The sequence below is a fragment of the Homo sapiens genome, chromosome 10 (genome assembly GCF_000001405.40).
Source record: "Homo sapiens chromosome 10, GRCh38.p14 Primary Assembly".
NCBI lineage: Eukaryota > Metazoa > Chordata > Mammalia > Primates > Hominidae > Homo > Homo sapiens.
Window position 1 is genome coordinate 59,009,749 of NC_000010.11, and position 15,517 is coordinate 59,025,265.

At 38.1% G+C, this 15,517-nt stretch overlaps 1 long non-coding RNA gene across 1 annotated transcript in view; it reads left to right on the forward strand.

The window, feature by feature from the left end:
• The first annotated feature begins 3,933 nt into the window (after positions 1-3,933).
• The window catches only part of LOC102724768 (uncharacterized), a 52,436-nt gene continuing 40,852 nt past the window's right edge, over positions 3,934-15,517 (forward strand). The window contains exons 1-2 of the long non-coding RNA XR_428752.5: positions 3,934-4,023; positions 12,821-12,894. This is a non-coding gene — a long non-coding RNA (uncharacterized LOC102724768). The remainder of the gene's footprint in view (positions 4,024-12,820; positions 12,895-15,517) is intronic.

Below are 15,517 nucleotides of genomic sequence, written 5' to 3' on the forward strand. Positions count from 1 at the left end.
GCTATTCACAGGCATGATCATAGCATACTGCAGCCTCGAACTTCTGGCTTCAAGCTCCTCCCACTTCAGCCTCCTGAATAGTTGGGACGATAGTCACATGCCGTCTCACCCAGCTTTACTCATTTTATAAGTGAAAAAACTGAGGGCCACAGAGACCAAACAACCTATTCAGAGCCAAGAGCAAGGTCTGTCTCAATCCAGAGACCAAGCTTCTAAAAGTTACAGAGATATGGGGAAGAGGGAAGGAAAAAATTCCACATTCTCTTATTATTTTATGGATTTTTAAAGAACCCCTAAAGTGAAGAGTTGGTGAGAGAGAGAACAAGGCAAGGCCACTTCCTATTTGCTGGTTTCAGGCCATTCAGGGGCAATGGGCCAGGAGAAAATAAATAAACAAAGACTGGGTCTTGGGGCTTGGATGCCCTAAGGTGAGCACCTTTGCAGCAATTTGTGGTTAGCAGTGGCATCCTTACTGATGGCTTGACAATACCTGGAGCCAAAGACATCCTGGACTCTCTCCAGCTCCCTCATACCCTATACTCCAACCATGATGGATTTTCAGTACCTGGGGCTTAGTCTTCTTTCTTTCACTTATAGGCCTTTAGACATTCTTTCCTTCTACTCAGCATATTTACTCATCTCCTTTTCCCCTTCCCCAGGATAAATCTTGCTCAGCCTTCAAATCCAAGTTTAAAAGATTTTTTTCTCCTTGAAGCTCTTATGCTACCCTTGAACTAATTCGACTTTTTTTTTGGTACATTCATCTATGGTATTGTTTTGCTTTTACCCTATGTACTAAGTTCTAAGATCCTACAGAACCCATTGCATACTCTGGTGGAGAACTTACAGCATTATTTATATTGCATGTTTAATGTCTGGTTTCCTCCCTGGGTTGGAAGTTCTTTGAGGCAAGAACTGTGTTTTTTGTTTGCCATTTAATTTCCTGTGCCTAATTTAATATCTGGGACATAGTATGCACTTAATAATTATTAAATAAGCCAATAAATAAATGAATGAAATAGCTCAAATTAAAGTCACTGTCGCTGAATATTAGAATGGAATAATAACCAGTTATCAAAGTAAATGTGACCTGGTGAAACTAAAAATGACAACAGTGACATTATGCTTGGCTTTAAGGATAAAACTGTGACATACTGCTTGGAAAAGGAAGATAACTATTTTGGATAACCTATAATTTAGAGAGAGTATAATGTAGCGTATATGAATTTTCATAAGTTAAAATAAGAAATACACTATATCATGACCCAGTACACACATATACACATACCTAAAACATGTTTTTATATTATATAAAGTAAATTTTCATATTTATCTTTACTGTATGAAGCCTACTGATAATTTCTTTTCTAATCTATTTTATACTTTTTCTTCTATTTCATTAAATAATTCTGATAATGAACAACTAATTTGATCTTATGACTTTCTAATGGGCCTAAAGATCGCCCTATCATGAAGAGGAGAATGGGTTTTGGAGTCAGAGGGCTGGCTCTGACACTTGCTGGTGGTTGCATCTAACATTGTGAAGCTGCATTGTCCCATCTACAAAACGGAAATGTGTTGGTAACTACATCATAGAGTTGTTGTGAGGATTAAATGAGATAAGGAGTGGGAAGCACTTAGCACAATGCCTGGTACAAAGTCCTCAACAAAAACTAGCTACTAGCAATTGCCAAACTCTATATGAATGCTTCTTTGGCATCTCCCTGTATCCTCTGAAAAGTTCCATGACGTAGTATTATTATTCTCATTTTATGGTGAGGAAAGTGAGGTTCAGAGAGATTAAAATGAATCATCCAAGGTCAAATGGTAAATAAATAGTAGAGCTGGGGTCCTCAAATCAGGCCTGATTGACTCTGAAACCTATGGTTTTTTGTTTTTGTTTTTGTTTTTTTGAGACAGAGTCTTGCTCTATTACCCAGGCTGGAGTGCAGTGGCACGATCTCTGCTCACTGCAACCTCCACCTCCCGGGTTCAAGTGATTCTCCTGCCTCAGCCTTGCCAGTAGCTGGGACTACAGGCACACACCACCACACATGGCTAATTTTGTAATTTTAGTAGAGACGGGGTTTCACCATATTGGTCAGGCTGGTCTCAAACTTCTGACCTCAGGTGATCCACCCGCCTTGGCCTCCCAAAGTGCTAGGATTACAAGCATGAGCCAACTTGGCCAGCCCAAAACCTATGATTTTTATAGGAAATAGGGGGGGATATTCAAAGAAACTTTCATGGAAATGGCTGGACTAGAGGTAGCCTTTGAAAGATAAGTGACTGGTATAGACCCATATAGCCAAATACTATTATAGGTGGTTGAAAGAAGGCCGGGTTTAGGATCAGCTACACCTGGGTTCTATCCTTGGCTCCACCGCTTACCAGCTTAGAAATTGTGTGCAATTTTATTTAGCCTTCTTGAGGCTCAGTTTGCTCAGCTGTATGCTGTTGATAATACCAACACTACAGAGTTCCGTGAAGAATAATAAGCTATACAGAATACATTTTTTCATTTTTTTGTTGTCTGACAAACGAGTGCTCAAAAAATAGAAGCTATTTTTATTAGATAGAATTTACTTATAAGAATGTGAGTCAGAACTTAATCTCTTAAACAGGGCTTAATTAAATTTGTAATTTGTAGGTTTTAATAGATGCAATTTGCAGTCATATTGAGAGCATGGGTAGAAATATACTGTACAAATGGATCTGGTAAGTTTTATTATTAATCGTCTTGAGCAGCTCCAAATAGAATGATCATGAGTGGCACTGAGCTTGCAGCTACTGATTGCATTTCTAGTAGTCGAGTTTGTCCAACATAATCTCTTCCAAGTTACTAGAAAATTGTTTGGCTTTCCTGCGTTAATGAAAAGTACATTTGCCTCACCTAGGAGCCATCAGAACTGTCCGTCTGCCCTTTACAGATATAATAGAATATCAAACGACACTGGGGCCAGCTTGGCAGCATTGTTCATTTCTATCTCAGCTTAATTACTAACCCTGCTGCCTTCACATCAAGCCTTGGGGCTAGAAATGAATTGAATACTGGAAATATAAAATTGGCTCCTGTTTATACTCCCTCTCATTTCTACCACTGTGGATTTGAAGACAGAGAAAGCCAAATTTCTTGTTCCTTATGGTACCACTGAAGGTGTGTTTGATGACTTAACTAGGCATGTTGCTTCAACCGCAGTTCAGCTCTAGTTACTCTGAAATCATTCAGTTTAATATTTCCCCTGGGAACTCCATGGTATGTTAGGTGGTTACTAAAACCCTGGACTTCAGAGGTGAAGCACAGCTGTGATTTTAACGGGTTCACTCACAGGTGGGGAGTGGCAATGGCAGAGCTTGTGAAGTTGAGATGCCCTTTTAAGGTCGTTAGCTGCTCAACTAACCTTGGGCAGACTCTGTCTCTCAAATGAATTACAGAGATGCAGAGAAAATAAATGTTTTAGTCTCTTGGGAAATTAAAATATTCCTCAGACAGAAATACCAGAAGAATGGAAACTGTCAGAAAGGCAATTTTACACAGATATATTTCCTTAAGTAGGGATATGCTTCCACATATCAAGGAAAGATTTGAGAAGTTTTAGTTTTTGTTGTGTTCAGTTATCCAGTGAAAAATGTTTTAGTAAAACGTATCCTTTCAAATCATTTATTCACTAATCAGTAGCAGCAAAAAAGCACTAAGTAAGAGTCAGGAGAACTGAATTTGGGTCCTCACTCTATTGCAATGGTTTTCATTTACCTGTTTTGGTCTTTTCCCCTCACTGGAAAAATTCAGACATATCTCCATAGAATATATAGTCCAGTGCTAAGAATATACTCCAGTTCTAAGATTATCTAATTGAGATTCTGAAAGTTTAATGCGATTAAGTTGAGACTTTTTGACTGGAATTAAATTCCATTAACATTTCTTTCTAACAGGAGAAACATTTTGCACTGTGCTGGGGGATTCTACCCACATAAGTCAGCATGTTACTTGCTAGATAAAAGAGCAATGAATGGAGTACTTCAGTAAGTATCTCTTCAAATATTATATTTATTAATGAGTAGCAATAATAATGAAAGCTAGAGTTTTCAAGGTTCTCCCACTTTATCTCACTTTATCCTTACAAAAACCCTAAAAGGTAGTCATCATTCTAATGTAATAGAAGGAAAAAACTAAGCGTTAAAAAGAATTAGCCTTTTCCCCATGTTTACCTAATTCATAAATGGCAGAGATGGATCATGCTTTTTTTGAAAGAAAAATATAAGTAGAGAATTAATTTGGGCCAAGATTGAGGACTGCAGCCTGGGAGACATAGATTCAGGTTGCCCTGAATACATACGCCCTATGCTTTTTACTTTTACCCATCTGTGAACTGTTTATGTCAACAGTCATGATGATATTAGAAAGTGTTTTGTACTTTGCTACATACCCAAATGCTCATGGCCATATACGTTTTGGATTAGCTAAAGCAGACCCTATTAATCTGTGAGACACAGACCCCTACGGAAGTGGTTGAAAGCTTATTTCTAAAGGCATTTGAATCCTTATGGACACTAAGCATTATCTGTTCACAAAATAAGTAACATCTCAAACATTCTATTCTAAACAGTTCTATTTTTCAAATATTTCAATACAATTGTGGCTATTAAAACAAATAATTATATAACAACATTACTGAATTAGTATTATCTTTCTGTCAGTACTGTATGTATTTTCTCAATAGACTAATATTGCTTGGTGTCTGTGAAACATTGAGTATCAAATAAGCTCATTCCTATAATCCCAGCACTTTGGGAGGTTGAGGTGGGTGGATCACCCGAGGTCAGGAGTTCGAGACCAGCCTGGCCAACATGGTGAAACCCCGTCTCTACTAAAAATACAAAAACTAGCCAGGTGTGGTGGCATGCGCCTATAGTCCCAGCTGCTTGGGAGGCTGCAGCAGGAGAATCGCTTGAACCCCGGAGGCAGAGGTTGCAGTGAGCCAAGATCGCGCCACTGCACTCCAGCCTGGGTGACAGAGTGAGACTCCATCTCAAAATAAATAAATAAACAAATAAATAAATAAATAAATAAAAGCTCCTGTGAACTTCCTGCAGTTATGAATATCTTCATTTGAGTATTGGCTGCATGGCTATATACTTGTTAAAATGTATTGAATTATGCACCTAAGACCTGATATGTTACTATGCTGCTAGAAATTTTACCTCAATTAAAAAAAAAAGGCCTTAGGTACTTGGAATGTTGACAGCCCAAATATACAGCAACTTCTCCAGTCCTAGTTAGACTTTCCCTTCTAGACAGTATTTGGGACAATAGTGAGGTGCTCTTCTCCCATTGCCCTCTGTGAGCTAAACTACTGAAAATTACCAGTGGGTAAAATTGGCTACCTGTTAGTGCAAACTAAGAAATTTCCTATGCATGTGTCTGGAAAGCATTAAAACAGCTATACTGTCACCAAAGGTGGTCAGGACATAGATCATGAAAGCAGAAAGAGAATGTGATTGCAACTTGGGAAATGGAATTTAATTGAATATTTGGAGAAAAAAGAGAGTCAATACAATTGATTAAGTTCTGTGAGCAGAAGAGGGATAGTCAATCTGAAGCATAAAAAGGCAGTCTGAGAATTATGTAATAGTGTCCAGAGAAAGAATGTGCCAAATCTAGTAGATTCTAATAAAGGTGTTCTTGTAGGCAGCATTGTGGATCATAAGTCTTCATCTTGGTCCAGATAAAATAGGTCCAATTTAGCCAACCTTCTTTCATTCTGAATCGTGAGGCTATCTTTTGTTTGCCGATTTGGCTTCTCAAGCCAAATGGTTTTGGAAAGTAGATGTCCTAGGGAGAAGATGTTAATGCTGTAGATACCTGCAAATATCTATTAAAGTAGTTATTCTGTATTACACATCAGTCTCTTTTAAATCCGGTTACTGTAAGTCATTTCCTCTGGGTCTGATCATTTCTAAACACCTCAATTTTAAGTTTATGGGTCTGCAAGACTGTGACGACTCCTTGTATTAGCCAAAAAAAATCGGTTTTCACACGACAGAAATACAACTTAAACTTGCTTAAGCAGAAGCAGAAACTTATTAGCTCACTTAACTTAAAAGTTCAAGGTGGTATTATCTTTAGGCAAGCAGGATCCAGGAGTTTGAATAATTCCATTGCAGATGCTGTGTTCTCTATTGCTAGTCTCTGCTTTATCCTCCATTAGCCCCGTTTTTTTCAGGTTTTCCTTTGTCATGACAAAATGTTTGTCAATAGATCTAAATTAGTCTTAGACATTCCAATGAGAAAAGAGAAAAATCTCTATTTTCAACAGTTTCATCAAAATCCTGGACCAATATCTAATTGCCTTGACTTGGGTCAAGTGGCTAAGCCCGAACTAATCACCGGGATCAGGGAAATAGAATGTGATGATTGGGCAGAGACTTGGATCCTAGGACTACACTGCAGCTGGAGAGTGGGATGGCCCCTCCTAGCCCATAAGGATGAAGAATGGGGGTGGGGTAGTTCCCGACTAGATAGCAGCAGTACTGATATCAGATCAAGGAAGAATGGAGACTAGGCAGAAAGCTGAAACAAAAAGCTATCGCTGACACCACCCAAAGTCACAGTGGTCCCTGAGGCTTCCCTGGGCTGTCAGCCAATGACCTCTGACTTATTTTTACCTTTTCCCTTTATTCTTTCCTTTTCTGCCAGCCAACACAGTGGACTAAGCAAGTATCAGTGATCAGGGTTTGTAAATATCTTTATAAAAACCAACTTATTCTAAATTTAATTTAGAGAAGTAAATCAGATATATAATGTAAAGCTTGTACCATAAGGGAAGAACCCCAATAGTCATTTTAAAATAATTGTGCATCTGCTGACAACAGAAAGATATTCTGAAACTAAAATAATACTTTTGGAGACATAGTCTTCTATTTTGGATTTTCTAGCTACCTCCTCTAATTCACTGGAAGTAACCGTAGTTGGGTGTTTGGGTTTTTTTTTCTTTTTTCTTTTTTTTGGTCACAATAAACAAACAAGGAAGCAAACAAATAAATAAAGACTGCTTTGTGACAGTGAATCATTCATCCCATTCTTCCCTTCTGCAACTATATACCAAGCAGCCACTGTGTTCCCAGAAGTGGTCCTAAAAAAGATGGTATTAAAATTCTATGTGACTGTGAGCCAGAGATAACTAGAGATGGAACTGATTTTGGAGATCATTTTATCAATGTCCAACATGATATATTCATGGTTAGATAGAAATGGAGCAAGCTGGAATAACTCAACCCATATTTATTAAGCACCTGCTATATAAGCTATTAAGTAAGGGCGCAGAAATATGCTATGATTATGGAAATACAAGTTGTTTGACACATAATGTGGGCACCTGTATTGATTTCCTATTGCTGTTGTAACAAATTACCACAGACATAGTGGCTTAAAATGCCACGAATTAATTTTCTTACAGTTCTGGAAGTCAGAAGACTAAAATGAGTCTCACTGGGTTAAAATCAAGGTGTCAGCAGGGATGGATTCCCTTCTGGAGCCTCTGAGGAATAATCCATTTTCTTGCCTTTTCCAGCTTCTAGAGGCTACCCACATTCCTTGACTTTATTTTTTAAATTGTTTTTAAATTATTTTTGTGGGTACCTAGCAGGTATATATACTTATGGGTTATGTGAGTTGTTTTGATACAGGCACATAATGTGAAATAAGCACATCATGGAGAATGGGGTATCCATTCCCTCAAGCATTTATCCTTTCAATTACAAACAATCCAATATACTCTTTAAGTTATGTTATTTTAAAATATACAATTAAGTTATTATTGAATATAATCACTTTATTATGCTACCAAATAGTAGGTCTTATTCATTCCTTCTATTTTTTTTTTGTACCCATTAAGCATCCCCAACTCCTCCACAATCCCCACTACCCTTCCCAGCCTCTGGTAACCATCCTTCTATTCTCTATGTCCATGACTTCAATTGATTTGATTTTTAGGTCCCACAAATAAGTGAGAACATGTAATGTTTGTCTTTCTGTGCCTGGCTTATTTCACTTAACATAATAATCTTCTGTTCCATCCATGTTGTTGCAAGTGACAGAATCTTATTCTTTTTTATGGCTGAATGGTACTCCATTGTGTATATGTGCCACATTTTCTGTATCCATTCATCTGTTGATGGACGCTTAGCTTGCTTCCAAATCTTAGCAATTGTAAACACTGTTGTAACAAACATAGGAGTGTAGATATCTCTTCCATATACTGATTCTTTTGGGTATATACCCGGCAGTGGGATTGCTGGATCATATGGTAGCTTAATTTTTAGTTTTTTGATGAACCTCCAAACTGTTCTCCATAGTGGATGTACTAATTTACGTTCCTACCAACAGTGTACAGGGTTCCCTTTTCTCCACATCCTCACCAACATTTGTTATTGCCTGTCTTTTGGATAAAAGCCATTTTAACTGGGATGAGATAATATCTCACTGTAGCTTTAATTTGCATTTCTCTGATGATCAATGATTCCTTGGCTTATTAGAGGCCATCTTTTGTCAAAGCCAGCAAAGAATAGTCAACAAACATTTGCTGAATGAATGAATTCGGAGTCAGACAGACCTGGTTTCAAATCCTAGCTCTATTACTTGGCCTTGAGCAAGTTACTTAGCTCTAAGTAAAATTATACATGAAATGGGTAAAAAATGTCTATGGAATAAAGTTCTGAAATTTCTAACATTCACTGAGTGCTAAGCATGCTGACTTGATTTGTATTTATTACTTCACTTGATTCTCACCAAAACCCTAAATGGTGGGTGATGTTTTTATGCTGTTTATAGGTAAGGGACTGGGGCATAGAAACATTAAGCATCTTGTTCTAAATCATAGTAAACGGTGGAGCTAAAATTTACCTGGCATTCAGAGTCAGTATTCTTAACCACAATACTGCACACTACCCATAGTAAGGTAAATTCCAATTATGATATCTGGTACATAATTGATGCTCAGTACATTGCAGGGCAAGATTAACAGCAATAAGCCTAGTAGCAAGTAATGTGTAGTGATCCAGGCCAACAGGCTAGGAGTTATTACTGGGAAGGTTTGAAACAAAATCCCAGATGTGGGGTAATAGTCTAGTTCTTAGGTGAGTTTGACAGGAATAAAAATGAGCCTCTATCCTGGTAAACCTGCTGTGCAGTATAGATTATAAGCAAAGACTGTGGCACAGGGGACCAAAATAGGGCCCAGGTCCTGGACCTATGTCCGGAGTTAGAAATGAACTCAGCAACTAAATTGGTGGCTCATGGTTAGAAACACACTAGCAGGATACATGCTGTGATTCTGTGTCACCTGGAGAGCTCTGGCAGCATGGAGTCAGCCTGGGAGATAACTGGGCTGCAGAAGGGTATCAGGAGCCCAGAGAAGAGGAGTGACAAAAGGAGGGTGAGGCCAGGCATTAGGCAAGTGGTCCTAGCCATGTTTATTGACAACAGTAACTTGCTGTCTTAGTAATCGTGTGTGTGCGTGTGTGCATACATGTCCGTGGTGTCAGTCTTCTAGAGTATATGGAACTGTTTTTAGAAAGCGTTCTTCATAGGGCTCCTGTAGATCCCTAAAACATTTCTACAGCTACATTATCAAGATGATTCTATGGAAAAATAAGCTTGTTTCTTGCAAGCAAGCAAACAACCAACAACAATAAAACAATACTAAAAAAATAAATTTTTAAAAACTCTCTCTCAAGTCCATCATCACAATAAAAGTAAGCGCTTTTAAAAACAGAAACTAGGTTTTTAACCAAGTAGTTACTGAGACATTATCTGTAAAATATAAATGATCTTCCTAAAAATATAAAGATCTTTAAAATGTAAAAGATCTTCCTAACCTTTTGGCATATGAGAAAATCAGTACAGCACCATATATAGTGACTAACCACGGGATATTCTTAGAAAAATACTGTGAGGAAATCAGAAAACAAAAAGGAGATTTTTCCCTTCGTTTTCCTTTTTTTCTTTCTGTTTTAAAACCCACAATTCGAAAAGAAAAACCTGGCCTGGAGTTTGGAAAGCAGTACTGGATTCTTGTTCAGGCTATTTCTTCTTTTGTTGTCCTTCAAAGGAGAATGTGGGACTGGGCTGATACAGCCAAAGTGAAGAACAGTTTCATTTCTTTTCAAGTTGTATCTGCTTCAAATTCACAGCACAATTAAATGTGCTTCTTGTGTATCTCACTAAAATTGAGGCTCTATGGGTCTTATGTTAGTTTCCCATGAACTAGTTGTTAAGAAATGAGAAAATCCAAATTCTGTTCTGTGATCCTTTTTGGCAAGTATGTTAAAATTTGTAGGCCTGTTATTTCCTCTACAAACCAGACAGTTTGACTATATTCAAATTTTCAAAAACCCTGGCATTTCGGCAAGATGGTAAAGTTTTTATATTCAAGTCTAAATATAGAGAACATGTCCACATATGGCAAATTATAATGAAGGAAGAATTATGCCAGCTTGAAACCTATGATCCATGAATTAAAAAATTTCTGCAGAAATGGTTGGGAGACTCCAAAAATAATAATAACAATGTTAATGAAGTACTAAAAATAAGATTATGGGTGGATATTTATAGTATCTTTCTCATTCCTTTTCATGTTACTCCTTTTTTGAGGCCTGTCAAATTAATTATTAATTTTCTACCTCCTGGTGGCAATGTAAAACAATCTTACTCAGACACTTGGGTCAATAGTAACAGAAATAATAATAATAGCAGTAGTAGCAGACATTTCCTACCATATGGCAGGCACTGTCCAATCTCGCTTAATCCTTACCGTACATCCCCCCACCTTCCACCAAAACATACTTTTTTATGGATGAGGAAAGTGATGCCCAGAGCTACCAGCAACAGGTTAATGAGTGGCAGTCCTGAGAATGGAGCTTAGCTTGTTTAGTTTCAAAGCCCATGCTCCTGCCATTATGCCATACGGCTCCAGCACCGGAAATGTGTCCTTAACCAGAGGGAAGGCAAGAGCATACATAATCTGGGAATTGTAAAGGAGCATGAGGCTGCACATAGAACTAAAGCCCTTTAGTATGTGAAAGATCTCTAATTGCACAAAAGCACTGAGAGCCCAAGACTTTTCACAAAACAACTCACAAATCTGTAGCAAGTCCAAGGAGGCATGGAGCACCACAAAGCAGTTTTGAAATTCCTGTCTAGAGGATCTTTAATTAAGGACCATTCCAGTGTTAAACTTGCATCTGTCCTTTGCTGATCTTTAATTATTAATACAGGATAGTCACTATTTTTAGAAGGGAAGATCTGTTACTCCTGTTAGTTTGGCTTCTAGGGGCCTACCCTTCTCTTGGAGGTGTGTCCAGTGATGATCACCTTATAATCTAAGGTGAAATTTTGGGGTGGTGAAGCAAAATAGGAGAAATGAGCACTGGATTTAGCTATTGGCCCAGGAGTGAAAGAGGGTTAGACTAAGAAATTGACCTTCCCCAACCCATTCAGTCACCCCTTGGACTGAATGGAAGGAACTAGCTTGTCATGTAAGGAACTAGCTTGTCATGTAAGGAACTAGCTTGGTCTACTCATAGAATGGGGCTAGATCCATGGCTATAAATGAGAGAGAATGCCTGCCTGAGACTACACTAGGAACTGTGCCTGATGGACTAACCAAACCAAGCAGAGACTTGATGCTAGAAGTCCTTTAGAGGAAATTTGCTCTTTCTGGGCCTGGGCCCTGAGGGTTTCACATGATGATTAAGCCCTTTATTTGAAACATTAAGTCCTAAGAATTGCTTCTTGAGCATACCTTCCTGGTTGGCTTCCCAAGTCACAGTTCCCTCACGCCATAACCCTGACAGAGGTCCAGATGTTTTGAGATATTTCTGGCATTAAAGTACAATTAATTTACACTTTAATGTAAAGTGTAAATTAAGACTATTGCACCCTCAAGAAAAAAAATACACACAAACATAGAAATGTATATAATATATAGATACATGTATGTATCTATGCATATATATGTAATTTCTCTCGCTCTCTTATCTTTCTCTTTCTCTCCACACATACACACACATACAATCACATGCACATTAACACACATTGTTTTTTCTTAATGCTCATGCATATAAAAGCAATGAAGAAAGAGAGGCGTAGAGGTAACATGGAGTCAAGGCTTCCAAGGTTGTTTTCTCACTAATTATGTGTGGCCTTTGGTAAGTCTCTCTGAAAAGTGATGTCTTAGTGTAGTACATTGTTATATGATTTAAAAGATTGGATGTTGAAAAGTTAACTCAAAATTTGATAACGCTATTCTTCTATTGAAGATCCACTATGAGCACCAAAGATCTGGGAAGTGGAGAGAATAAAACCCTAATCCAGGACAGCTTTAGTTTTTCTTGGGGCTCATGATCAGTTTACTATTTCAGCTTGTCAAATAAAGCCCAAGAGGCATTTTTAAGCTTGGAAAATGCAATTCAATAGGGAATATCATTACACAAAGTTGATAACTTTTTTTGTCTTTTCCTTCTCTTTTTTCAATGCATGTGTACGCGCATGCGTGAGTGTGTGATTATAATCCTCTCGATTTAGTCAGGGCCCATCAGCAGCCTGTGGCTTTCCCCTCACTCATCTTGTATCATTTCGTACCCGATGAGCAATCCCTACTTTACCGATAATTTCAAGCAGATGAGAGAAAAGGGTAGAAACAGCCTCAGAGAACACACAGCATTTTGCTTTAAAAATTCCTGCTCTGTATTTAGCTTTTAGCTAAATCCTCTCTCCCTCTGAATATTTCCCACATGTAGGCAATTTTGCTTTTCTTTTCAGTTTTAAATGCCGCAACTCAGCAAGAAAAAAAAAGTGTCTGGTATCTTCCTGAACAACTACCTGGTATTATACAGGTGAGATAAATTGTGATGCCACCAAATGTCCTATATATAAACGTATGGACATATATTCTTTTCTGAAAACTGTATTTATACTGCATAATTTCTATCTTATATTTTCATGAATGGTGCCTGTTCATTTCCTTATATCATTAAATACACTTCAAGAAAACGTCATTTCCAGTGGACTCCCAACAAGAGCATAAACTTTTGATGTCAGAAAAACAGCGCAGACATGATCTGGACTCTGGGATATGTAAGATGACCCTCGTCTTAGGAGGCCACATGGACTGTATCACGTACACAGTATATGAGGAAGCTGAGCTTTCCCTAGGGAAACAAGAAAAAGAGTGGAAACTTAACATTGTCCTATTTTTGTGCTTTACATTTATTATCCTACTTAGTGCTTCCCCAAAACTTAGAAACTGTTATTATCTCATTTTACATAGGAGGAAACTGTGACTTAGAGAGATGAAGATACCTTATATATAGATCTTGGATTTGGGACCAGAACTGCCCTAGTCTAGACCTTAGTTCTTTCTATTTCACCATTCTGCTTCTCTGAGAGGTAAACGACATCTTAAAATCAAGTCAGATAAAATGCTTTATACAACTACATGAAGAAAAAATTTAAATTTTATGAGTGGAATAGGACATTTGGTTACTCGGAATCAGGGAGATAATGCAATGTTCTTATGCTTCATGTTTAATTCCCTGAAGCTTAAAAGGGGAATCTTGAGGACAAGTAGGGCAGTCTCTCTTTCCTTAGGTCGGGAATCAGGGAGAAATGAAAAAGGATAGAGTGGGTGTGGAGATAATGGTAGCTCAGTCTAGGAGAAATGGAGCCCGCTCATCTCTACATGAACTAAATACTGGCAGAGATTGAGAATTTTTGTATATCCTGCATCACTTTTAAAAAGTAGATCACTTCTAACAATATAGGATTGAAGACAATAAGAGAGGCCTAGGGGTCTTTTAATCTATATTAGCTAAATGTCTTTGATAACATTTAATAAACTTGGCAATGAAGTTCTGGGTGCTGTTAATATTAAATCATGATTTCTTAAAACATTTTTAAACATTTTATTTGCTTGGTTTGTATTTTTCCCTTTTGTATCTTGACCAACTCTTTCTAGCTGGGCTTGACTTTCTGCCACCACCAAAGAGCAGGGCAAGTACTCAAGTAAGTAAGCTACTAAGAAGGCCAGTGACCCAAGCCACCAGGAGAATCAGCTACCCATCTCCACTCCAGGGTTTCTGCCATTCAGTGACCGTGTCAGGTAGGACAGGCAATTACAGACATCACTATACTCATGCCTCTCCTTAAGCTAATGGAAAACAGGCAAGGATGATGCCCAAGAAGGTCTCAAATGTGTTACTCAGGCATCATCTTTTATTCATAGTGCAAACGTTTTTGGTAACAGGGACCAACTCCCCTGAAACCTACTACAGCCCTTCAAGACTTCTGTATAATTCTTTCTCCTTTATCAAGCCTGTGTACCCAGTATAGGGTAGTGGAGGCATGCTGTTCTTACTCACTAGCTCATTTTTGCCTAATTCTACCATCTTAATATATTTAATCCTTCCAAAAAAGTCATAAAGTATTCTAAGCATAGATAACCACATGAATTATGCCTTTTACGTGTAGAACCTAATAGAAGATACATTTCTCATTCATATTGCCTACAATAACACTCTTTCTCTACAAGGATACAATCAATAACACCATTACCCTCTCCATTCACTGATCCCAAACTAAGGGGAAAGGTCACTATGAGCCAGGGAAATCAGAGAAACACCAGGGGGCACAGTGCAAGGCCTGGGATAAAACTAGGAGCATTGGGACAATTCCTGAGGTGGGCTTTCTGTAATGAGAAGAGACAACTGTGACAGGGACTTCCTTTCTATTTGGGAATGTCCTTAGCAACCTATAGCTGCCTTGCCCCACCGACCCCATCCCACCTACTCCTGTTCTTTTCCCTAAATGGCTCCTGCTGGCTGTAATGGTAGCCTTGGCAGATGACAGGGTCAAGAGATGTGCACAATTATACAGTCCTTCTTCACCCCTGTCTGAGTTCTTACATAACCTCCTAGTCTCTCGGGATGAGCAGAACATCCTGTCAAAAGCAAGAGGTATCAGAGAAGGAGGCAAAGAAGGGTTACAGGTCAGACTCTCTGGTTACCTTGAGCCTTGCCACTAATTTCCATCATCTGGGATTTTTCTTAACTTTCTTCCTACCTAGACTGCCCTGGCTCCAGAGGCATTCATATCTCTATGCCTCAGACAGCAATTATAATGAGCTGCAGGCATGCAGGTCAAGGAAGAATTGACAAGAGTAGCCTCATATAAGGACAAGCTATGAGAGAGATAACAAAGGGTTTTCTTTACTCCAAAGCACCATTTTATTTCTAGTAAAAGTTCAGTTACTCAAATTCAGCACCTAGATATATACCCCAAAGTAATGAAAACAGAGGCTCACACAAATATTGGTATATTAATGTTCACTGCAGCTTTATTCACAATAGTTAAAAAATAGAAACAACCCAAGCGTCCATCAACAAATTCATGTATTAAAAATGTGGTATATGTGTATAATGAATATTATTCAACAATAAAAAAGAATGAAATTTTATATAT